General features: G+C 34.9%; 1 protein-coding gene across 23 annotated transcripts in view; it reads left to right on the top strand.

Moving 5' to 3' along the window:
• The window catches only part of TMEM232 (transmembrane protein 232), a 351524-nt gene that overhangs the window by 94492 nt on the left and 231683 nt on the right, over positions 1-25349 (top strand). For 21 of the 23 annotated variants that reach the window (XR_001742182.2, XR_001742181.2, XR_007058620.1 and 18 more), the window contains 5 exons: positions 2092-2203; positions 3467-3572; positions 6108-6265; positions 16583-16682; positions 19030-19196. Coding sequence is in view for 20 of the 23 variants with exons in the window: in XM_011543565.4 (XP_011541867.1) it covers positions 2092-2203; positions 3467-3572; positions 6108-6265; positions 16583-16682; positions 19030-19196 (643 nt within the window). In the remaining 3 variants the exon portion in view is untranslated. The remainder of the gene's footprint in view (positions 1-2091; positions 2204-3466; positions 3573-6107; positions 6266-16582; positions 16683-19029; positions 19197-25349) is intronic. The other 2 variants (XM_011543560.3, XM_047417495.1) reach the window with 2 other exon arrangements.

Raw genomic sequence — 25349 nt, 5'->3', positions numbered from 1 at the left:
ATCTATTAACTTTTTCATCATGCATCTCTGAATGTTTGGGTTATTAAAAACAGCACTGTTATTTTCATATTTTTAAAAACATAATTCCTAATGATATTATAAAAATTAAATGGATGAAGGGGCTTTTTTAACTTCCAAACTCTTCATACAAATGAGAAGATTAAAGTTATTTTGGACACTTTATGTAGCGTAGGTTCACATAGATCAAAAATATGTTATCCCAGATGACTATTGAGAAACAATTTTCAGCCAGTGTTCACCAAATATCTTCAAAAGCAAGAATGGAATGAAAATCAGGAAATCAAAGATGAGGTTGCTTATTTCAAAATGCCCAATTATCACAGACTTTGTATGTTGTAACACCTCAACTCTTCCTTTATTGTACTGCAAGCTCCACTAAGGCTGGATTATTTGTCTTTTTTGCTACTGTATCCGCAATGCAAAACTTAGTGCCTGATATATAGAAGACAGTCAGTAAATTCTTAGTAAATGAATTAATAAATGCTTATTTTAAGATTGCTATTTAACTGCCCATTTAAAAAATAGCAGTTAAAGGGTTGATTATTTCATTAATTGCTCTGTTCTGGGATATCTTATATTTGATTCCAGTTTACAGAACACCTTATCATTACCTTTGTTCAGCCTGTCATCATGTGGCACTGTTATTTTTAGTAGATCTGTCTCCCCAGTAGGACTGTGAATTACTCAGGGACAAAATCTGATTTCTATTCATTTTTTTATTTATCTCACAGAGCAACAAATTCAGTAAATTCTATTTCAGTAAATACAGTAATTTAAAATGTTTTATTTTTTCAGATTATTCTTTCCAATAGCATGACTCCAACAATAATTTTACTTCACAAAAACACAGTTCATTGATTCTACTGTTCACTATTCCTTTGATATCACTTTGGTCCCATGCCCATCTTCAATTTTGTGGTACATCCTTATTGTCACTTCACTTGTTCTCTTGCATACACTTTCAACTTATTTGTCCTACTTTTCTTTGAAATTCTCGTATACTCTCTCTACATTTTCCCTATGGGATCCATTTAATTCATAAGACTTTAAATTCCATATCTATGCTGATGACTCGAATATTGGTATATCTTGTCTGAATTTTTCCCTGAAATTCATACTCATATATCCAACTGCTTACACTCCATCTCCACTTGGATGGCCATGATCATCTCAAACATAACATGTCCAATACTAAAATTATTCTCTATCTTCACCCCACATCCGCTTCTCTAACAATTTTCCCCATCTTAGTGAATAGCGATTCAGTCCTTCTAGTTCCTCAGTTGAGTCACGACTTCTTTCTTTCTCTCATGCCTAATTTCTAATTCATTGGCAAATCTGGTTGGAGCCGAAGTCAAGACATATCCATTATCCAAACTCTTCTCCTTATTTATATTCTGTAATCCTGATCCAAGCCACTATTACGTCCCACCTAACTACATGTAAGCTCCCCCTTTTGCTACATCCCACCTCCCTACACGCTAATTCTCAGTATAGCATTGGAGAAATTTGCTTAAAGCTCAAGTTAAATCATGCCACGCCTCTTCTCAAACCCTGCAGTAGCCTCCCATCTCATGTAGTTAATATGGCTACTTGCTACCTCTTTGACCTTACTTCATACTTATACTTCTTTCTTCCCTTGCTCCCTCAAATCCAACCATGTTTGGGCTGATTCCACTTGCACAGAAGGAGTAAAAGTTTAGCTTAAATGAATCAATGCTGATTTATGTGAGGAGATAAATCAGCCTTCAACATAATTGAAGCCGTGCTGGATTTTATCTAAAGAAGGCTTATACCAACAAGACTTCTAGCAGTCATCTCAGAAACTTTTTCTCAGGGGCCGCAAAGGTCTTTGACAATGGGAATTATGTTTCTCAATCTAAGAGTATGACAGGATCAGTCCAGGAGGCTTGCATGTATCTTTTACTGATTTTTTTTGTGTGAAACAGTTTTATTAAGAAAGTATTTTTGCTAGAATATAGTTATACATAGCCACTGGAAGTTGATTAATTGAAATTTGGAAGTGATAGCTATACTTTTTAAATGTTAATTTTTCAATGTTTTATTTAGGCCAACATTTTCAATCACAAAAGAATTCATCTTGAGATTCAATCAAACACAAAATTCCAAAGAGAAGGAAGAATTGTTGGAACTAGCTAGAAAAATCATTCTCAGATGTAAGGTAATGGCATATCATTTGATTGTTGAGCATGTTAACTTCCTTTCTAGTTGGTACATGATTACACATTCTAAAATATTTTAAGAAAAAATAAGAATATATCTTTCTTTAATTATAAGTAGGGATAGTTAAAATATTAATGCAAATTAAAATTAAAGCTTATAACCAAATAATAAAAGCTCCCTGTAAATTTTTGTGGAAATATACCAGTCCAGCAGCCCATAGCAAAACGTTAAGTCTGGCAAATAAATTTTTGATTATGAAAATTATATTTTTTTAAAAAAAGTTAATTGAGATATGCTGTGTCTCAAAGGAGAAAAAGGCCTTTCTAAACCTTTATATACATGCACAAAGTACTCTGTTCTTTCTCTGTAACAAACTATTCTTCACCTAACTTGTGAAAAATACATTCGTTAAGAATATGACATTAATCCCCAAATTTACAAATAGATATCAAAACAGAACAGGAAGTAAAGTAAGTCCTTGCTTTGCCTTTTTTACATTGGATTCAGTTTAAGTTTTACAGAGAAATAACATACATATTTTGCTTTGATATGAATAATTCATTAAATAAAAGCTGCACAAAACTGGTGCATAAATTAAGCCACCTTTTTTGTGGTGTTGTAGTGGTGTTATTTTCCAGTTCATGGCTGCCCATATATTTGAAAATTTTGAAAAAAATTTGATTAGAAAAAGAGTATACTTTTGATAAGTGTGTATGCAGACAGGTGCCAGGAGGTGCATTCATCAGTGAACTTTTCTCCAATTGTGCAAGTGTTCCCTGCAACAGTCCCAGGAGTGGGCACAATAAGGGAAGTGGAACAATCCTGATCATCTCCCTCAAGTTCATTAACTTCCGTATATCAACAATGAAGTAGCCAGGGTTTTCCAGCAAACTGGCATCAAACTCACTTCTGTTTTATCACATTTCTTCAATGTTTTTCCTTATACAATAAAAAAAATGCATTCCCTTGGGGGAAAATTGGAAGTACTCACTAGAAAGTAAAAAATGAGAATTATTTTCAGCAAATAGCTAATGATATTACTTGTAATATCAACTTTTTTACATCTTAACACTAATACAGTTTGCATAAAATCTCCAAAAATTTGAGTAATAAAAGCAAAAATATAAAATTGTATACAACTCTGGCCACCAAGCATTAGCTTCATAGAATGACTTTTGGAGCACAATTAAGAGTTAAAAATAAATATATATATAAAAATATGTACATTTTGATTTGTCTTTTTCATGCTTCCTCATAACAGAGAAAATTGGGTCTCAAAACCCTGGGCTCTGGAAGGCATGTGCATCTTCCTGCTGCATGGACTGAAGTAATATATCTGGCTCAATGCAAAGGGGAAATCCAAGATGGTACGTACTTTAAATTCTTATTAGGCATCCTAAGTATTTTCTATATCATCAGTGAAGGCATAATTTGAGAACTTTAATTTTTAAAAATTGTGCAGAAGACAAGAAATTTTTCTACTCTATCAAAATACATTTTATTATGAAAATTCATTTTGTAATTTTGAATTTATGATTTTAACTAAGCTTTTTAGTGATAAAACTATTTTAAAAACTTTACTCAGCATAGTCTTTATTACTTTTTTGCCAAAATTAGCAACTAATTAAAAACTAATATAAAATGTCATTTAGTGATTTCCAGTTACAATAGGCACTAGACTTTAGAGAAATTTGCTTCTTCATTTTATAATTATTACTTATAAAACATTAATCAAATGACCATTTGTTTTCCACTTATTTTAAATAGCAAGCTTTACTCATTACCTTTTCATTTATCACTCCTCATTTATGCCTCCTTTAAAACATCCTCTAACTAATCTAAAAAAAAAATTAAACAACGTTATTTCTAAGGGGGTAAAATTCTTTCCATCACTATCATTTAATTGTATATATATGCCTTTTAAAGTAGTTTTAGAATGTTAACCACATGAGCTCAGAGAGAATTTCCCCCATGTAAATTAGGTTTTGTAGTGCTATCTGGGAATTTTCAAGCAACAGGAAGAGTAAGAATTATTTTGTATTTAACTTGCCTTTATGGTCCTTCATCACAGTGCCATCCACAGCCTGACCTCTATTAAGAATTTAAATGATATTGAGGTAAACACTCTTGGTTTACCAGCAAGAAGAGGCTGTTTGCTCTTCATTGACAATTACATTTCAGTTTTAATCAGTCATGTGATTTAGAAGAGGACTGGCCCTTGCCCAACCCGAGGGGGGTGAATCATGGATGGTCTAAATCAGGGGTCTCAAAACCCCGGACCATGAACTGGTACCAGTCTGTGGTCTGTTAGGAATTGGGCCGCACAACAGGCTGTGAGCAGCCAGGGAGCGAGCATTACTGCCTGAGCTCCACCTCCTGTCGGATCAGCAGTGACATTGGGTCCTCATAGGTGTGTGAAGCCTATGGTGAACTGCACATGTGAGGCATCTAGGCTGCGGTGCTCCTTGTGAGACAAAACCAGTCCCTGGTGCCAAAAAGGTTGGGGACTGCTGGTCTAAATCAATTATGGTAATTCCTTTTCACTTGCTAGTGATTTGATTAGGGGTAGTCACATGACCTGGTCCTGAGCACAGTGATGTAAAGACAGCTACATTTCCTGTACTTTTTGTTGACTTGCTTTTGAAAAAGACATGCCTTTCCTGCCTATACTCTTCCTTGTTCCTGTCTAGTTTGCTTGGTAAGAACATGATGCCTGAGCTTGTGTAGTCATCACAGTCCTCATGCACATGAGAGGGAACTAGAAGATGAAAGAAATGTGCATATAGAGGGCAGCTATCTTAGCTGTCCCTGGAACCTTTCCAATTCTAATCTTGTGAAATAAACCTCCTTATTTTCAAGACATTTTTGTTGCATTTTCTGTTACATACAGCAGAAGGATTTTAATGCATTCACATATTTAATTCTAAGTAATACTCTCAATATGACTTCTTACTCTCTTCACAACTAAAATAACTGAATGAGTGTTTTACCTGTACTTTTGTCTGCTCCTCATTCTGTAATCCACCCTCCACTCAACAGCTTCTGATTACACTCAAATGAGTGTAACTCCATATCATGGCCTACAAGGCTCTGCATGTGCTGGCTCCTGGCTACCTCCCTACTTACTCATTATGTTCAGCCCTACTGACCTCCTTCCTGTCCCTTGAGCATGTCAGGGTTCTTCTTTCCTCAAGTCCCTGTATTTGCTGTTCGTCCTCATATATTTACATGGAAGCTCCTCAAAACTTTTGTAATGATTTGAGAAGCTGTTTTCTCTAGGCTCTTAGCTCTATATTCTTCTTCCTTCAGCTTCACCGGTTGGCCCTGTTTCCTCTACCTTGATTCTCTAGTCTTCTGCTATTCCCTTTTTATCTTTCGCACTGCCTTTTATCATCTGGTTCTGTCCTATTTCTCCACCACGATGTGTGTGGCCTGGTGATTTATTTAGCCTGTATAGTGTTGGATCTATAATAGCTGAGCCCCCTTGGACATTTCTTCCTTCCTCTAGCCTCTCGACCTTGGTGACTTCTGTTTCAGTTGCTTCATGCCATGGAGTTGAACTTCCTACATGGCAGCTTAGGGTTCCAAAGCTAGTATCTTGAGAGAGAGAGAGATCCAGGTGGAAGCATTGGTGCCTTTTCTGATTCAGTCTTAGAAGTCACATAGTGTCATTTCTGCCACATTCTATTGGTTGAAACTGTCACAGGGCCTGCTCAAGTTTAAGGAGAAGAGCATATAGACATCACCTCTTGATGAGAAAGGTGTCAAAGAGAATTTGTAAATATATTTTAAAACTGCAATTTGGTCTTAATGACAGGAAATAATTACAAAAAGTAATTATAGCATGTGGAAAAACAGGATGATTTTCAAATGATGCAGTTTCTATATTTTTAATATTTCAGAATCTTTAAATATGCTTTATGCATCTCTGGACCATGCTTCCTTTGATTATGATCATCTGCCTGCCTTATTTTTTGTTGCGGAATCGGTTTTATACAGACTGTGTTGTGATGCATCCCTCAAAACATATTTATATTCAGTTGAAATAAAGCTAGCAAAGGTATGTTTTGAAAAACTTCTTAATGTTTTTAAATATTTCACATACTACATGTAACAACATGACATCTGTTTTAGGATCAAAACAGAACATTTAGTTTTATTATAGAATATTCTTTTGTTTGGTAGTTTAATCTTCTCTAATTGTGAGTAGTACGTTATTATTGCTTAATATCTAAATGGAGATAGTTTGAGAAAATATAATGTCACAAACTATATAAGAAAATAACATTTCATTAAAAAAACAATATACTTCTACTTAACTGTTTCTCTAAGTATATATAGAGTTTTTCTTTTCTATTTTAAGGACTTTTAAATGCCACCTCCTTTGCCATTTAAAAATGCTGACAAATAACCTTAAATAGCTGCCCAATTTGGGAAACTTAGTTGTTCTTCTAATATTCTATGTCACTTTAGATCTATAAAAATGAAAAACTCTTTTCAGGTAACTCATATTTTATAATGTCCTTGAGATCATATTGTTTCACTCTCAGTGATGATCATGGTTGACTGCTGTAAAATATATTATTAGTCAAACAAATGTAGTTTAACTAATGGTTTTACTGCAAAGAAAGAAAAGAAAGGCTAAAAGTATTTTTTAAGATGGTTTTTTATATATATATATACACATATATGTTCATATATATATGAATGAAACAAATTAAATTGATTATGCAGAAATGGTTTTTTAAATTAAATTTTGATTATAAACTGTTAGAAATCGAGCATGAGAGAACATTGATGAATCAGTCCATCAGTTGAACATTTTGGGGAGACAACCACATTTCAGTCATTGTAAATCAAGCTTAGATGCTCTCTGACACATTTGGTAGTAAAAGACTTGTGGAGACCAAGCAAAAGTAGATACAGAGAATACATAATAGAAATTAACCGTGCAAAAAACTGAGCTTTGCGTAGATGGAGGATTGAAGAAAATAGTCAAGATATTACCAATAACTGTTTTGGGATGGTGAGCTTATGATGATTTTTTTTCTTTTTCTGTATTTCCAAAACTGTCCACTAAAATATGTATTTATATTTATAATGAAAACAATATATATAAGTAAAAATAAAATATATAAAAATAAAATGTAAATATACATATTTATAATGAAAAAATAAATGTGATAAAATTTTTAAAATGGAATAGAAAAACATGGAGCAAGTCTGGCTTTTATCTCCTTTCTTTCTCATCTCCTTCAGTGACCTTTCTCCATTTCTTGCCTTTTGTATTTCTGCTAGCAAGAAAAAAATAGCTACAAAATATAGTTTTATGCATGGAGCATATTGCTTATACTTTGCACATGCCCTGTTATCTGCAAAGCCAGATAATTTGTACCAGTTCTGATAGCAGCTGCAAACACTTAAACCTTACTTAACTATGTGCCTTACACAATGATAAGTGCTTTAAATATATTAGACACATTAACTTATTTTATTCTCACAACTATCCTAAGAGGATTATTCATGATTTCACATATTCTACATCTCACTGTGGCATAGAGAGTTTTAAGTGACTTGCCCAAAGTCTAAGCAGAGAGAGTTTTGATATTCAATGTGGCTACAGAGTCCAGTGAACTCTCAGCTATGATGCTACACATCTACCTTGGTTCTCAGATTTACTAATTTTTACCTTATTTTTTCTTCTATTGATATATAAATAACATTTTAAATATTTATGAAGTACATGTTAGTGTTTGTTACATGACTAGCATGTGTAATGAACAAGTCAGGATATTTAGGGTATCCATCGCTTTGAGTATTTATTATTTCTATGTGTTTGCATCATTTCAAATCCTCTCTTCTAGTTACTTTGAAATATACAAAGCATTGTTGGTAAGTATAGTCACCCTACTCTAGTATCAAACATTCTATCTAATGCTATATTTGTACCCATTAACCAACTTCTCTTTATTTTCCCCTCCCATTTACCCACCCTTTTTAGTCTCTGATATCTATAATATTATTCTGTTCTCTTTGTCCATGAGAGCAAGTCTTTTAGCTTCCACACGTGAGTGAGAACATGTGGTTTTTGTATTTCTGTGCCTAGCTTATTTCATTTAACATAGTGACTCCCAGTTCCATCCATATTACTGCAAATGACATTTCATTATTTTATTGCCAAATTGTATTGCATTGTGTATATACACCACATTTTCTTTATCTAATCACCCATTAATGGATACTTACGTTAATTCCATATCTTTACTATTGTGAAGAGTGCTTCAGTAAACACGAGAGTGCAGGTATTCCTATAATACACTGATTTTCTTTATCTTCCTAAAAGATAAATTCCCACTAGTGGAATTGCTGGATAATATGGTAGTTCTATTTTTAGTTTCTTAGAAACCTAAACACTGTTTTCCATAGTGGCTGTACTAATTTACACTTCCACCAATAGCATATGCATTCTCTTTTCTCTGTATCCTCGCCATCATGTGTATTTTTTTTTGTCTTTTTAATAATAGCCATTCTAACTGGAGTGAAATAATATTTAATTGTGGTATATGGTCTTTATTATTTTGAGGCATGTTCCTTCTATGCCTAGTCTGGAGACTTTTTATCATGAAGGGATGCTGAATTTTTTCAAATGCTTTTTCTGCATCTGAGATGATCATACGGTTTTTGTTCTTCATTCTGTTGTGATTTATCATGTTTATTGATTTGCATATGTTGAATCATTCTTGATTCCCTGGTATAAATCCAATTTGATCGTGTTGTATTATCTTTTTGATGTGCTGTTGGATTCAGTTTGCTAGTATTTTGTTGAGGTTTTTGGAGTCTATGTGCATTAGGGATATTAGCCTGTAGTTTTCTTTCTTTGTTGCACCTTTTCTGGTTTTGGTATTAGGGTAACGCTGGCCTTGGGAAATGTGTTAGGGAGAGTTCCCTCGCCTTTTACTTTTGGGAATAGTTTGAGGAGGGTTGGTATTAGTTTTTCATTATCTATTTGGTAGAATTCAGCAGTGAACCCATCTAGTACTGGACTTTTCTTTTTTGGGGGAATCTTTTTGTTAATGATTCAATCTTGCTACTCATTGGTATTGTCAGGTTCTGTATTTCTTCCTGAGTCAATCTTGGTAGGTTGTATGTTTTCAGGAATTTATCCGTTTCCTCCAGTTTCCAGTTTGTTAGTGTATAGTTGTTTACAATAGTCTCTGATGATCTTTTGTACTTCTGTGGTATTAATTGTAATATCTACTTTTTCACTTTTGATTATGTTTGAGTGGCCTTATCTCTTCTTTCCTTGGTTAGTTTAGCTAGCAGTTGATCAATTTTATCTTTAAAAAAACTTTTTCATTTTGTTCATCTTTTGTGTTGCTTTTTTAGTCTCAATTTCATTTATTTCTTCTTTGATCTTTATTATTTGTCATCTTCTACTAATTTTGAGTTTGGTTTGTCCTTGCTTTACTAGTTCCTTGAAGTGCATCATTAGATTATTTGAAATCTTTCTGTTTTTTTGATGCAGGAATTTATTGCTATAAACACCCTTCTTAACACTGCTTTTGCTCTGTCTCTCAGGTTTCAGTATATTGTGCTTTCATTTTCATTTGTTTCAAAACTTTTTTTTTTAATTTCCATTTTAACCTCTTCATTGACCCAGTGGTTGTTCAGAAACATGTTGTTTAATTTCCATGTATTTTTATAGTTTTCAAAGTTCCTCTTGGTATTGATTTCCAGTTGTGTTTCATTATAGTCTGAGAAGATACTTGGTGTGATTTTGATTTTAAAAATTTGTTGAGACTTATTTTTTGCCTAGCATATGATCTAACCTGGAGAATATTCCATGTGCTAATGAGAAGAATGTGCATCCTATTGTTGTGTTGGGAAAAATATTCTGTGAATATCTTTAATGTCCATTTGGTCTAAAGTCCAAGTTAAATACAATGTCTCTTTGTTGATATTCTATCTAAATAATATGTCTTATGCTAAGGGACGAGTGTTGAAGTTCTCCACTATTAATGTATTGGAGTCTATATTTCTATTTAGATCTAGTAGTATTTGTTTTGTGAATCTGGGTGCTCCCTGTTGGGTGCATATATATTTAGAATTATAATATCCTCTTCCTGGATTGATTCCTTTGTCATTATTTAATGTTCTTGCCTTTTTTTAAAACCTTTTTTGACTTAAAGTCTGTTTTATCCAATAGAAGGATAGTTACTCCTACTTGCTTTTGATTTCAATTTGTGTGGAGTATGTTTTTCCATCTCTTTACTCTCAGTCTGTGTCTTTACAGGTAAGGTGCATTTCTTATAGGCAGCATACAATTAGATTATGTTTGTAAAAAATGTATTAAACCAGTCTATATCTTTTAAGTGAAGAATTTATTCTGTTTACATTTACATTATTATTGATATGTGAAGTTTTGTTCCTGTCATATTGTTAATTGTTTTCTGGTTTGTATTAGTCCATTTTCACACTGCTATAAAGAAACACCTGAGACTGGGAAATTTATAAAGAAAAGAGGTTTAATTGACTCACAGTTCTGCGTGGCTGGGAGGCCTCAGGAAACTTAACAATCATGGCAAAAGGTGAAGAAGAAGCAAGGGCCTTCTTTACAAGGCAGCAGGAAAGAGAGAGCAAAGGGTGAACTTCCAAAGACTTATAATACCATCAGATGTCATGAGAACTCACTCATTATCACCAGAAGAGCATGGGGAAACCACCCCCATGATTCAGTCACCTCCCTCCCTCAACACGTGGCCCTTCCTTGACACATAGAGATTACAATTTGAGATGAGATTTGGGTAGGAACACAGAGCCAAACCATATCATGGTTGTTTTGTGTATTCTTGTCTTCTTTTCCTCTTGTTGTTTGTCCCTGTGGTTTGCTAATTTTCTGTTGTGGTACCATTTGAGTCTTTTCTTTTCCTCTTTTGTGTCTTTGCTTTACCCATGAGTTTTATACTTTCGTATGTTTTCATGATAATAACTATCATCTTTCCTCTTCCAGGTTTAGAACTCCCTTGAACATTTTTTGTAAGCCTAGTCTATTGATAATGAATGTTCTTACCATTTGCTTGTCTGTAAAAGACCTTATTTCTTCTTCATGTATGAAGGATAATTTTGCTGGATATAGTATCTTTGGGTTTTTCAAGTGTCAAGTTTTTTTTCTTGCAGCAATTTGAATATATCATTCCATTCTCTCTTGGCCTGTAGGTTTCTGCTGAGAAATCCACTTTTAGTCTGCTCAAGGCTGACTAGATGATTTTTCTGTTTCTTTTAGAATTTTTTCTTTATCTTTGACTTTAGACAGTTTGACTGTAATGTACCATGGAAAAGTATTTTGGGTTTGTGGGGTCTTCTCGATCTGGATGTCTAAATCTCTTGGTAGACTTGTGAAGATTTCAAGTTAAATTTTGTTAAATAAGTTTTTGAACCCTTTCATTCACTTTTCTCCTTTAGGGATACCAATAATTCATGTATTTGGTCACTTTATCATGTCACACATATCACAGAGACTTTGTTTTTTTTCTTTTTCATTACTTTTTCTTTGTTTTTCTCCAAGTTATATCAAAAGACATGTCTTCAGGTTCTGAGATTCTTTTGTGTTGTTGTTTTAGTTTATTGTTTAAACACTTGATTGTACTTTTTATTTAATTAAAGAAGTTCTTCAAATCCAGATTTTGTTTGGTTCTTTTGTATGATACGTATCTCTGATAAATTTCTCATTCATATCTTAAATTGTTTTTTTCTGACTTTTTGTATTATTTTTTGAAATTCTCTTGTATCTAACTGTGTTTCTTTAGTGTCATAATTTGATTTTTTTCCCTGTGATGTCACACATTTCTTTTTGATTGGAATATATTGCTGGGGAATTATTGTATTCCTTTGGAAGTATCATCTTTCCCTGTTTTTTTTTCATGTTTCCTTACGTTGATAACTGTGTAAACTGTGTATCTCATGTAATATTCACTTATTCCAATTTTTTGAATTTGCTTTCACAGTGGAGGATTTTTTCCTGAAAATGTATCATAGTGTTGGTTAGTAGAGCCCTTTGTATTTGGTTCTGAGTACATGCAATAGTGCAGTCCCTGTATGATTTCTTTGGCTGTAAACAGCATCAGTGGTATCTATGATTTCCCAGTGGTTTAGAGTGTGGTTAAGAGTGGAGGCTACGGTGAAGTTTTGCTTGAGGACAGGGATTCCAGATGGGTTAGTCTTTGGTCCCCAGTGGTGGCAACAGTGGGATGAGTATGCCTGTTCTTGTACCCCAGCATACAAGATACTTGCTCTGGTATTAGCAGGACCAGGCGGGCCAATTCTTGCGCCTCTAGGTAGTTTGCTTAGATCCTGATAGTGACAGTGGTGGACCAGGCAGGTGAGGGAGTTCTTGGTTCCCTGGGTAGGTGGCATGGTGTAGGTAGTGGCAGTAGCAGTTGTGGGACAACCTTCTGGGTCCTGAGCAGTGCATGCTGATGTTGGAGATGGCTACAATGCAGTCTTCACCTACAGCCCCAGTCATGCAGCTCAAGCTTGCCTGTTCTCAGTTGTAGCAGCACTGTAGTGGTACACATAAAGGTAAGGAGCCCTGCCCTTTGCACATGAGCTTGATCATGGTAGTCATTCTGCCAGTGGGAGTGTGGTCACTATCCAGGCCCAGACAAGGTGCCATCTGGTTCACCTGCCCTAGCCTCCAGTGGCAGCAGCAGTGGCTGGGCCTGCAGAGGTATGGAGAGGGGGAGAGAGAATCCCTATGCATGAGCCTGAACACAGAGGCCACTCCACCAGTGGAAGTGGGGTCACTGCCCTCAGCCCCAGATAGCTGGCTCTCATTTGGGTTCCCAGTGGCAGCAATTGCTGCTGCAGTGTTGGGTCGGGGGTGTGAATGGGATCTCTCTCTCTGCTTGCAAGCCTGATCACAGAATTTGTGCTACTGCTGAGGCAGTGTTTCTTCTCATAGCCTCAGACAGGAAGCTCTCAGGCTCTGGAAAGTGTGTGCCTTGGTTTCCTTTGTCCCAGGGACTGCCATGTTAATGCGCTGCACCATCTCTTTTCTGGAAAGTAATACTACTTGGGGGCCACAGTACTGGGCCGCCGTAGCACCTTTGTGTCCAGCAATGCTGTGCCACTGTAGGCTGCTGGGTAGACACTGGGGAATGTCAGTTGGGGCTCCTGGGATATGGAGATATGCAGGCTATCTTTCTAAAGGGAGGATGCAGCCCCATGATGGCTGTACTCTCACATGGTACACTGCTGTAGTTGCTTAGGTCTCAGGGGTGTGAGTGAACCAGCATAAGTTCTGTGTCTGGTGCAATGTCCTTCAGGGGTCTCTAGCTCACTGTCCACGTTAGTGTCAGGAAATATGTGGGTAGACGAGCTCTGCCATGGTTCAGATTGCCGCAGTCCATGGTAGGGACATAGACCACTGAAGTTCTTACACACTTTCCCCCAATAGCAAGCCCCTATGTGTTCCCAGCCGATTTTGCTTCCCTTCTGTATTAGTTCATTCTCACACTGTTATAAAGAAGTACCTGAGACTGGGTAATTTATGAAGAAAAGGGGTTTAATATTCTCACAGTTCCACAGGCTTAACAGGAAGCATGACTGGGAGGCCTCAGGGAGCTTATAATCATGGTGGAAAGTGAAGGAGAAGCAAGCATATCTTCACATGTTAGAGAAGGAGAGAGAGAGTGAAAGGGGAAGTGCCGCACACAACATACAACCAGAATTCACTATCACAAGAAGTGCAAGGGAGAAGTCCACCTCCGTGATCCAGTCACCTCTCACTGGGCCCCTCCCCCGACATGTGAGATTATAGTTCGAGATGAGGTTTGGGTGGGAACACAGAGCCAAACCATATCACCTTCTGTGTCTCAGGTATTTCCCATAACTTCTCTGTTGGACTCCAGTGTTCTCTCCTAGTTGTTCCATCTGAGGCATGATTATTGCTTCATAATTTTGATTCTTCTTTCTGGAGAGAATGAGTATGCAGTGTCTCTAGTCAGCTGTCTTCAACTGGAATCCCAAGATGTACTATTTTTAAAGCTTGCTCTTTATTATTCTAGCTAATATAACTATCTGTTGGAAATAAGCATGCTCTATAAGTACTTTGAATCCAGGCAAGAAACCATTTTAATTGTCCTCCTTGCCTTTGTAGGGTTTTCATTACATATCTGAAAGACTATTGGAAACCTCCCTTTTGTTCTTTTCTTTTTGACAGAATGCTTTATTAAAGGGTATTATCAAAGATGCATCACCCGCTCTATATGCAGTTTTGTTTCCCCTTTGGAGAAGTAACTCAGGGTTGAATAGATCCAGAAACATATGATCCCCGAATATATTTTCTTTTATATTTTGTTTACATTCTTTCCTTTCAATCTAGCTCTAAGTGTACAATATTCTTAATGATTGACTTCTGCTTACTGAAGTATAGAGAATAACATATAAGCAGCAACAGTTTTATATGTATTAGATAGAAACATATGCAGTGATCGTCAAGATTCTATGCAAGAACCAAAAACATATAACTATTAAAATACAACACATGATAAATATTATCCAGCCTTCAATTTTACAGCCAGATAAAAGTATCAGAAAAAAAGAGAAGAAGAGATGGAAATAGAAAGAGAGAAGAAGGAGGTAAAGGTCGAATGAAGGAAATGTGGGAGAGCTGAGAAAGAGAAACTGACAAGCAGAAATTAAATGTAGGAGGCAAAGCTTGAGTTGTCAAACAACAAAGAGAATATGTACACAAATAATACATGAAGAACAATACATAGAAAGTCCAGTATACAATATGGAAAGGTAGATTTGTCAATAAAAATTTGGCCTTCAAGAATATTAAGATGCAAGCTTTTAAAATCATTTTTCAAGTATAGCTATAACTAAAGATAGTCTCTGGGTCAGGTGAAATCCATGACCAAATTGAGATATAAATACAAATGTTATTCATGCTGACATGCTTGTCATGTATTTTCTGTTTTGTCCCCTATTACATTTTTGAATATTATATTTTTTTTCAGTATTTATCTCTAGTCCTTGAAAAATATTAAATTATCCTCCTTCTGATTAGTTATTCACTCATTGTCTATATCTATGAGAGTAGTTTCCTTTAATTCTGTCATCTAGAGTATTTCAGTATTCTTTTAAATATTTTTTTCACATTTAACTTCGGTCTCTTAGAGAAACACAGTACTACAACAAAGTTGTTGCCTTATAAACATGTTATTTTTACATACTTCATAAGTCTACAAATGGTGTATGTTTATACTTTATGAATACATTTATAAATATTAATGATGCATTCTCAAAATTTATTAGTAATGATAGAGGTTTGTAATAAAAAATATTTGGAAATCACTGCCATAGTAGAAAGCTCATGGCTTTTGGAGCAATACATACATTCCTGGGTTCAAATTCCAGTAATGTTACTTATTTACTTTATAGTCTTGGATGATGCACTGAGATTTCATTAGATTTATCTTTTTAATTTTATTTTATTTTTACATGTATATCATTACATGATACCCTGCATTGCTGTTAAGAGGATTTTGAGATACACACACACACACACACACACACACACACACACACACTGGATACTGACAGCTATTGCTGTTATTTGGGTCTTCTCCACAATTTAGAAACTTGTATTCCATTTCTATAGTTAATGTGTTTTTTATAATTTTCTGTAAAATGTTGCAGATTATATATTTTTTCAGACATTCCATTTTATGTAGTCTGTGTAAAACAAACTATATTTTTACTAATCTTACAGAAGTAAGATTTTGCATTGCTTATTTAATAATGACCCTGTGAGAGGTCTTTTTTCATGAGGGAATAGGGAGCTTAGCACAGCATGCTATGCAGAAGTAGGATAGTTCTCAACACTATCTAATGCAATGGTTCTCAAACTGTTTTGACAGAGATGCTTAGAAATAAATACCTTTTGCATTGCAATTCGGATAACATAATATACACTCATTTATATACTGAAACAAGGAATTGTACAGTAAAATATATTTTTTCTTCTCTTTTATTTTATTTAAAAATCTCCTCTCAATTGATTTCATGACTCACTTAAGGGGCATGACTTGAAATTTGAAAAACACTGTTCTAAAGGGCATAGAACAAAATAACATTTAGTGTTGGTCATTATATGTAGTGTAGAGATGATTTATAAAAGTTTTTTGGCTGAACTAGCATTTCAATCTTGATATAAATGTTTTAATGTTATTTAAAAACCACATAATATTGAGTGAGTTTAAAATTGTTTTCTCAAAAGAAAATGTAATAATATAATGGTTGATTTTTCTTATGGTTTTTAAACATTTATTGATGCAACACAAAAATGTATTTTTCTTTTCTCTTTTGACAGATTGGCTATTTGGTCTTCTTACGACTTTTTATATTTTTCCTGCATGGTCATCTAGAAAGTTTTAAACAACATTTACTTAGGCTTCAACCATATTTATACGGTAGAATATCTTTTATTTTTACACTTATAAATGTTTTATGTTATATTTTGATAAGCTCAGACTGTCACTATAAAGAACGTAAGCTGCATTTTATTTTTCATAAAAGATAATAGGTGCAGTGTTGAAGAGCACAGCTTCAGGGCCAGATTGCATTTGTTCAGCTCACTGCCCCTCCAACCCCCATACTTTTGTTATTTCTTTGTGGTGAGAACATTTAAAATCTGACTCTACTTTTTTTTCCGGCAATTTTGAAAAATGCAATACATTATTATTAACTATAGTTATCATGTTGTGAAATAGATCACTAGACCTTATTCCTTCTGTCTAACTGAATTTTTGCACTCTGATATCTCCCCCTTCCCCATCCGTTCTCACGACCTACTCCCTGTTCCAGATGCTGGTAATCCTCATTCTGTATTCTGCTTTTTCACTTTGCCACTTAAGTTTATGAGCTTTTTTGTGACTCAGTTTTCTTATTTGTAATAGTATCTACCTCCCTGAATTTCAGGAAAGTTAAATTCATATTTTAGTAAGGTTCTGGACTTGGTGATCCACTGAATCTAAGCTATATGTAAAGAAGAGTGAGAAATTCAAGCGGGAGCTGAAGTTTTGCATGTTGAGTAATAGAATTAAGATAATGATGTTCTGAACTAGGAAAAATTTGGAGAAATATTGGGCATATTGAATTTGAAGGTCACTCAGGTATATATACCCAGCAAGCAGTTGAAAACAGGTTTGGAACTAGGGAAATAAGTGAAGCCTGCCTGGGATATAGAATTGACAGTCATCCATGTTAATGTGGCCGAGGGCGAGGGGCAGGGAGAAACTAATTCCAGGAATGAAATCTTGGGGAACATACATTTAATGGATTATTGGTGTAACAGGGCCCAGGAAAAGGGAAATAAGGGAGGTAAGAGGAAGTGATTATGTTTAAGGAGAGAAATTCAAGATCAACATTGTCATAGAAGTATTAAATAGTAGAAGGTCTGAAAAATGATGAGTTTCTACAATCAGAAAATCACTGCTGATCTTGGGAGCATACCCAGTGGAGAGGTGGAAGCGGAATTCAGATTGGAGGTAAACAAACAGCGAGGGAAAATTTAAGCATAAGGCAAAAATTGTGAACTATTTCAAAAAAAGCTTAGCTATAAATATTTATGCTGATATGTAAATATGTCAATAGTTTATTTAGATGGATAAAATAAAGTCAAAATATTAATATGTTGTAGGATAAGGGAAGGAGAGGCTCAAGATAAAGAAAGGGAATTATATTTGATGAAAAAAGTCATGGAGGTGGGAACAGAAGGTAATAGCAGAAGTGTTATGGAGACTAATCAATTAGTACCATTAGCATAAGTCCTAATCAGATGTGGCCGTAGACTGATAGAATAGGAATTCTTGTCTAACATTTCACTTGTTTTTATATCTTCATTAAATTATAGAACTACTTCTTAACTCCTCACAGTGTTCAGCATAGTGACTTACCAAATATTCAGATGATTATGGCAGATCAACTTTGAAAAATTATTTGAGTAAAAAGCTCAAGTTCTCATATTAGATTGTTATTGAGGATATACCCTCCTCAAAAAAAAAATCTTTCTTTCACATACAAGAATAAAATCCCCAAATTGTGCCCTCTTACCAAATATAATAGAGCCTTAGGTTGCAGCTCTACCTTTAACAATAGGCTGTTTTCTACCTGAAGCTATCAGCGGCTGCTACCTCTCCACATAGCTGTCCAGTAGAATGGTCATTATTAATTTTTCCATTATGTGGATGGACTAAAACCCAAAGTTTGTCTAAAAGTTTATACAAAGAGCAGCACTGAGATGATTCTGTTAAATATAATGTGGTGTTATGTTAAATTATCTTATTGTTGTAAATAATAACATCTTGTTTTTATTATTTACAACATATTGTTGTAAATAATAACATCTTGAGAAGGAATAAAACTGGAGAATGTTTGTCTAGAATCAATGACATTGATTTCTTTGTAGAATTACAATGTCAAAGTATCCATTATGAATACAGCATCTATTATAGCTTGATTTATTTTCATCTGGAAGTTTCCAAGCATTGTTGAACAGTAACTATATTTAATTGGGCATTCAATGATTATGAAATTGCTGTCCTGAATTATATAAACTCTTACGTATAAATTATTTACCGTCTAGTATTCTATTATACCACCAGGGGGCATACATAACATTATAAATCTTAAATAGGAAACTAGCAGTTTCTGCATCTAAGTACTGAATTTAATTATAGTTTAATAGCTAAAAGACAAATGAAACACAGTGCAAAATATTAATAAATTATTTCTCACAGATGATTTTTCTTACAATAGCACTTTCTTTCTCTGGAGCATCATATCACAAGTATCCAAACATCTTTTCAAATGTGCAATTCATCCTGAAAGCCTCGGAAATTATAGGTAAAAGAGAACTCCGTTCTGAATCCATTTTTAGACCTGTGGAAGATAAGAAAAGATATGAGAACACAGATTCTGATATGGTGAGTAATCTGGTATGGTGGGTATATCCTGTTGCCTGATGCATCAGATATCATTACTATGATTAAGTAATGGTGCTTATCAATACAGTAGACATTGAGGAATGATGAGTTTAGCTGTGGAGGAGGGGTGAACAGCAAAGATACGAATTTCATGCAACCATATGCACAGTTCCTGGAGAGTAGTTAATAGGATGAGTAGGAGGTATCAATATATAACTCTACTACTTTAAATGGGGTAATGCCATAATACCTTCTTCTTTCCTCACATATTTTCCAAAAAAGACCAGTAAGCATTTCAAAAACTTCTTTTATTTTTTTGTTAAACTTATTTATTATTTTACAGTTTATAAATAGAAAATTTGTTTTTCTTAACAACTTCTAAAAAAGGAAAAATACGTTTAACATTATGCGAGTTGAAACACCTAAGGAAATTTGAGGAAGAGTCTGTTTTTAGATAATGTTATGTGTTACCTTATAATTTTCCCATGCTTCCTATAAGCCCTTTCTAAAATTGGCTATAAATTAAATATATAAGAAAAAAATTCCAACACATCTATTTGTAACCTTTCTGGGCCTAAGTGTTTTCTCTTTGGCAAATTACTAGTTCACCATTTATATAACAAGTGACATTTACTGAGTAAATTGAGCCTTCTGGTTATAATTACTAATGAGCACAAATTACCTCATGTGAGAAAGGGATCTGTTTTTAAGTATAAAAAATGTTTTAGCAGTAAATAGATAATGAAAGATATCGAGCAACAGAAAGAGCACTGATCATGAAGAGAACAGACATGCTTATGAACTGGTTCTGTGATCTACGAGAGGCCCACCAATCTCGCCAAACTTCCATTTGCATATCTTTAAAAAGTCGTCATTATTGTCATAGTCATCATCATCATCATCACCATCATCAGTCTGCCCTAACTCTTTTACAGGGTTGTTATAAAGATTGCAGAAAAAAAAACCAGCATGTGCTTTATAAAATTATTAAATGCCATGCAAACATGAATAATAATTACTGAAAATATATATTTAGGACCTCACTTTACCCTAAACAGTGACCTATAATATTTTCATCTAAGGATATAAGTATGTTGGCTTACTGTTGTGATTGGAATGTTCTTCCTTTAAACAAATAGGATTCCATGAAATCTTGGCAATGTGAATAGTCTGGTTGTGAGGTAGGCAACTGTCAATGTTGATTCTGATTCTCTTTAAGAATGAATCCATTTTGTCACTCTTGGTGCACACACACACAGCAAGCAAATGGAAGCTTACTGCTGTACAGCTCAGCCTGAATTAGAAGGGGCAAAAATGTCAATACATGAAAGGGACATATCAGCTTACAGTGGGACAAGTCACTAAATCTCTCTGTGCCTTTTTCCACTTTGTAGAACAAAGCTTAGATTCAATCTCTTCTAAATTCTATTTCAGCTTTATCTATGTGATCCTGTAAGGGGATTATAACAGAGTTTGACCTATCAGGTTTATTGACCTTCTTTTTCTCCTCCTCTTATCTCGTAATATAAAGACTATAAATATAGGATAGCATAGCCACAGTGCTGCTAAAATTACTGATTTGGCTAATCAGCACTCAGTCAGTGCTGGACTGCATATCTTAAAGTTCCCCAGTTTCAGCCCAGTTTCTCCAGTACAGCTAGCTTTTCCAGGTCAGTTGACTATTTACTCATTCAATACCCATCTCTCTCACCTGGGAAAGGAAAGAGGAAAAAAGACATAAAAGTGATAGAAATGGAAATAGATACATTTGCATCAATCTCATCTCCTTTCCTTATGATTGTTTTAGTATATTATAGCAGAGGATTTGTGAATTTATTCCTGTAGCCCTTATCATTTGATAAAGCTAAAAGGTCCATAGCACTATACTTTGGCCACTTGAAAGTATTTGATTTTTAGTGTTCCTATATGCATTGAAATAAAGGCATAATTACTTAATTTGTTGTCAAAGTGCTACCAAAATTGCATTGAAAGTTTTATAGGATATTACGATACATTAGGATACATGCCATATGAGCATGGGTTCCACTTAAGAATAGGAAATTTCCTTTCGTCTGCTGTTGGACCCCATTTCTCTTTTTAATGTCTTTTTAAGTGATCCAGACACAGGGTTTCCATTGACTTTGACAAATGGTACACTTAATTAGCTCTTTGGATAGCAGAGCCAGAACGCTGGATTGAGTTTTCCACTCTGTCCTTTGCTCACTAGCAAAGCTAAATTTTCTTTTTATTTATTTATTTATTTATTTATTTATTATTATACTTTAAGTTTTAGGGTACATGTGCACAATGTGCAGGTTAGTTACATATGTATACATGTGCCATGCTGGTGTGCTGCACCCACTAACTCGTCATCTAGCATTAGGTATATCTCCCAATGCTATCCCTCCCCCCTCCCCACACCCCACAACATTCCCCAGAGTGTGATGTTCCCCTTCCTGTGTCCATGTGTTCTCATTGTTCAACCATTGTGGAAGTCAGTGTGGCAATTCCTCAGGGATCTAGAACTAGAAATACCATTTGACCCAGCCATCCCATTACTGGGTATATACCCAAAGGACTGTAAATCATGCTGCTATAAAGACACATGCACACGTATGTTTATTGCGGCATTATTCACGATAGCAAAGACTTGGAACCAACCCAAATGTCCAACAATGATAGACTGGATTAAGAAAATGTGGCACATATACACCATGGAATACTATGCAGCCATAAAAAATGATGAGTTCATGTCCTTTGTAGGGACATGGATGAAATTGGAAATCATCATTCTCAGTAAACTATCGCAAGAACAAAAGCTAAATTTTCTAAGCACAGTTGTCACTTGGTAGTAATAATAGTTCTTTGGAGAAGGTAGATTTAAACCCTGCTACAATGCAGTGGACCTTTTATTAAATAGTTTCATCTGTTCTGAAGTACAAATAGTTCTCTGAAAACTAGCAAAGACAGAGTTTACATTCTAGTATGATTAGCAATCTCATTCTGTAATACTTTTTGATAAGCCAAAGGCATTACCTAAGTTTGGGACATTTTGTGCTGTCCTGTAATTGTAAATGGTTACTAGGAATTATTAGAATGAGACATAAACTCCTTAAAATTAGGAGCATTATCCTATGATTCACGTCAAATTATCCAGGTAACACTTTGTATTGGGAGATCCTTTCATGGCAATGTCAATCATCCCCCAAAATGACTGAAAACTACATGAAACCCAGAAAGCTGTCCCTGAGCAGCCAAAATAGAGCCCATGCTTCAAAGCTCATTTCTATTATAAAAGAGAGCCTAGTCAGACACTCATAATTTATGTACTTAAATTTGCATAAAATCTAAACTGGTGTTGTTATCTGAATTTTCAGCCAACTGTAGATTAACAACACTTTTGTAGGTGGGCTTCTCAAAGTAGGCATTGTTCCAGCTACAAATGATAGCCCAAAGCTGGACAGCAAGGGAGGGAGACGAAAGAACTGTGGGAAGTGGTTATAAAAGCCAAAAAAGAAAGGAAGGAAGGGAAGTAAGGAGGGAGAGAACAAAGAGAGGGAGGGAAGGAGAGAAAGAAGGAAGAAAGGGAGGGGAAAAAAGTTCTCTGGGTGTCATTTAAGGCAGTGCTCAGTGCTTTTCAAACTATCTGTGGTAAAAGATCTCTCCTAATTTATTTTTAAATTTCCAAACCATTACAGATGGATAATTTTGTAAAATATAATAATAATGACGACAAATTACTGAAAACTAAAATAGAAAAGACCAAAAAACACAAGCTTTAATTTTTAATAGACTGAATATATATAATTATTTTTCAAATTGTTATGAAAGTGTCTAAATACGTATTTTTCATTTTTTGTGCTCTAATTAACAGTTTGCAAATGGCAGTTATCTGCCAACCACACCTTGAGCAGGACTGATTTAGGGTAAAGGCACAGAACTCAAGAGTAAGCAACATTGCTCACTCTTGGTCTTCTGCACTGATGATATATGTGATGATTGTATTAAATCACATAGTCATCATCATTACATTAATTCATTGAAGTTTGATAAATTTATTTTTTATTTTTTGAAAAAATGTTTCTTGCTGAAGATTGCTTGATGGGCCGGGCATGGTGGCTCATGCCTGTAATCCCAGCACTTTGGGAGGCAGAGGCGGGTGCATCACTTGAGGTCAGGAGTTCGAGACCAGACTGACCAAAATGGTGAAACCCTGTCTGTACTAAAAATATAAAAATTACCGAGGTGTGGTGGCAGGCACCTGTAATCCCAGCTACTTGGCAGGCTGAGACAGGAGAATTGCCTGAACCCAGGAGGCGGAGGTTGCAGTGAGCCAAGATCACGCCATCACACTCCAGCCTGGGTAACAGAACAAGACTCTGTCTCAAAAAAAAAAAAAAAAAAAAAAGCGCTTGAAATACATAAAATTCCTGAGACTAACTAATAAGCCCTACCTATCTGGAAAATTCGCAGGTGTGGCAGGTTCCTTTCCTCTTGATGATGTCAATGTTCTACTGCCAAAGGCCACTAGGAGCACATCTGCAATTAGACATATTGGGTTTATTACTTGTTGCCGAGAGAGGGAGAGAGAGAGAGAGAGAGAGGAGGAGAGAGAGAGAGGAGAGAGGAGAGAGAGAGAGAGAGAGAGAGAGAGAGAGAGAGAGAGAGAGAGAGAGAGAGAGAGAGAGATATGAGAGACATACCACAAGGAACTATGGGATGTCTTAATAAGAGAGTGTTAGAAGGAATCTACTAGAGGATTTGGACTTTATTTGGATGATCTTGGGAAGAGTCTAAGGAAGTAAGGGTTCTCTCTAGAGGTTTGATGCTGTCAAAAAGTTGGGGCAATTCTGTGATTATGTATTTTGTGGGTGGCAGAGTGACTTTGTTTATATCTGTGCTTAGAAACAAATTGTCAAGTGGCTTTGTTTATTTCTTATGGTCTCAGAGTAATATTGTCCAAAATTGCTATCTTGTGAGTTTATGTCCAATAGGAGATCAAAATAACCTGGCTGTGTCAGACCAGCTTGTAATAGTATGTCAAATCAATCCCAGACATGAGAGGATGCTTTTTATTTCTCCACGATGTGTAAAATTGGCATAATATAAAATTGAAGATAAAACTCAAATCTTGTTCGTTGTCTAAATCCTGATTTTTTTCTTTACCAAATGCTTTCTGAATTTTCTCTGATGATGGTACATAAATACATTAATGCAAGAATGGTTGACCTAATTGAATAGTTTATGTAGTCCTGCAATATCTATGATTAAAATAATATTTATTATAAATTAACCATTCGAGTCACTCCGAAGTTTTTTTTTATTCTTGTTTTATTTTTATTTTTTTAATATTATGCTTTAAGTTCTAGGGTACATGTGCACAACATGCAGGTTTGTTACATATGTATACATGTGCCATCTTGGTGTGCTGCACCCATTAACTTGTCAAACATATTTATTTACCTATTTATTCAAAATAAGTTTGCAATCTGAGGATTGTCAGGCATCCAGGCTGAGACAACTAGAGCAATTTGAGAAAAGAATTTCATTTATATGGGTTCCAGTTTTGGGGTAGACCCTACCATAAAGCAGAAAATTGAGTTATATGTGGACTTACTGAAGTCAGTATGTCTCAGACTAATGCTTTACATTATTTTAGAATAGTGCTTTTCTGTGGTGTGTTCTAACACTGTCAACACTGAATTGTTTTCATTTGCTTTTCTGAATTATTGTTCCCCAGAATCAGTAGCTTTGTACAGATGTTGTCTTCCTCATGTCTTTATCTCCAGAATCTTAACGGAATTCCTGACATAAAGTAGATAAATACACAACTATGGGACTTAACTAAACACTTTATTAGAAACTTAAAATATCTTAGCTTAAAATTTATGTATGAACTTCTTGCTTTCTATCTGAAAAGTACTCAACATAAAAATTATCTTGAAATTGTAGTCCTGATGTTGTTTTATATAATAAATAAGAATTATGAAGCCCTTTAGATTCTAAGTGTTTCATTTTAACATAAAAATCACAAAATATCAACTAAGTTAACAATTTGAGTACCTATCACAGGATGTGTATTTGAATCTTCACTGTTGGCAAAAATTCAGAGAGTGCTATGTCATCATTTTCTACCAATTACTTTAGTAGACC

This window comes from Homo sapiens, chromosome 5 (assembly GCF_000001405.40).
Source record: "Homo sapiens chromosome 5, GRCh38.p14 Primary Assembly".
In the NCBI taxonomy this organism is placed as follows: domain Eukaryota; kingdom Metazoa; phylum Chordata; class Mammalia; order Primates; family Hominidae; genus Homo; species Homo sapiens.
Note: the sequence above shows the minus strand (reverse complement) of the source record. Positions and strands in the feature narration are given on the sequence as shown.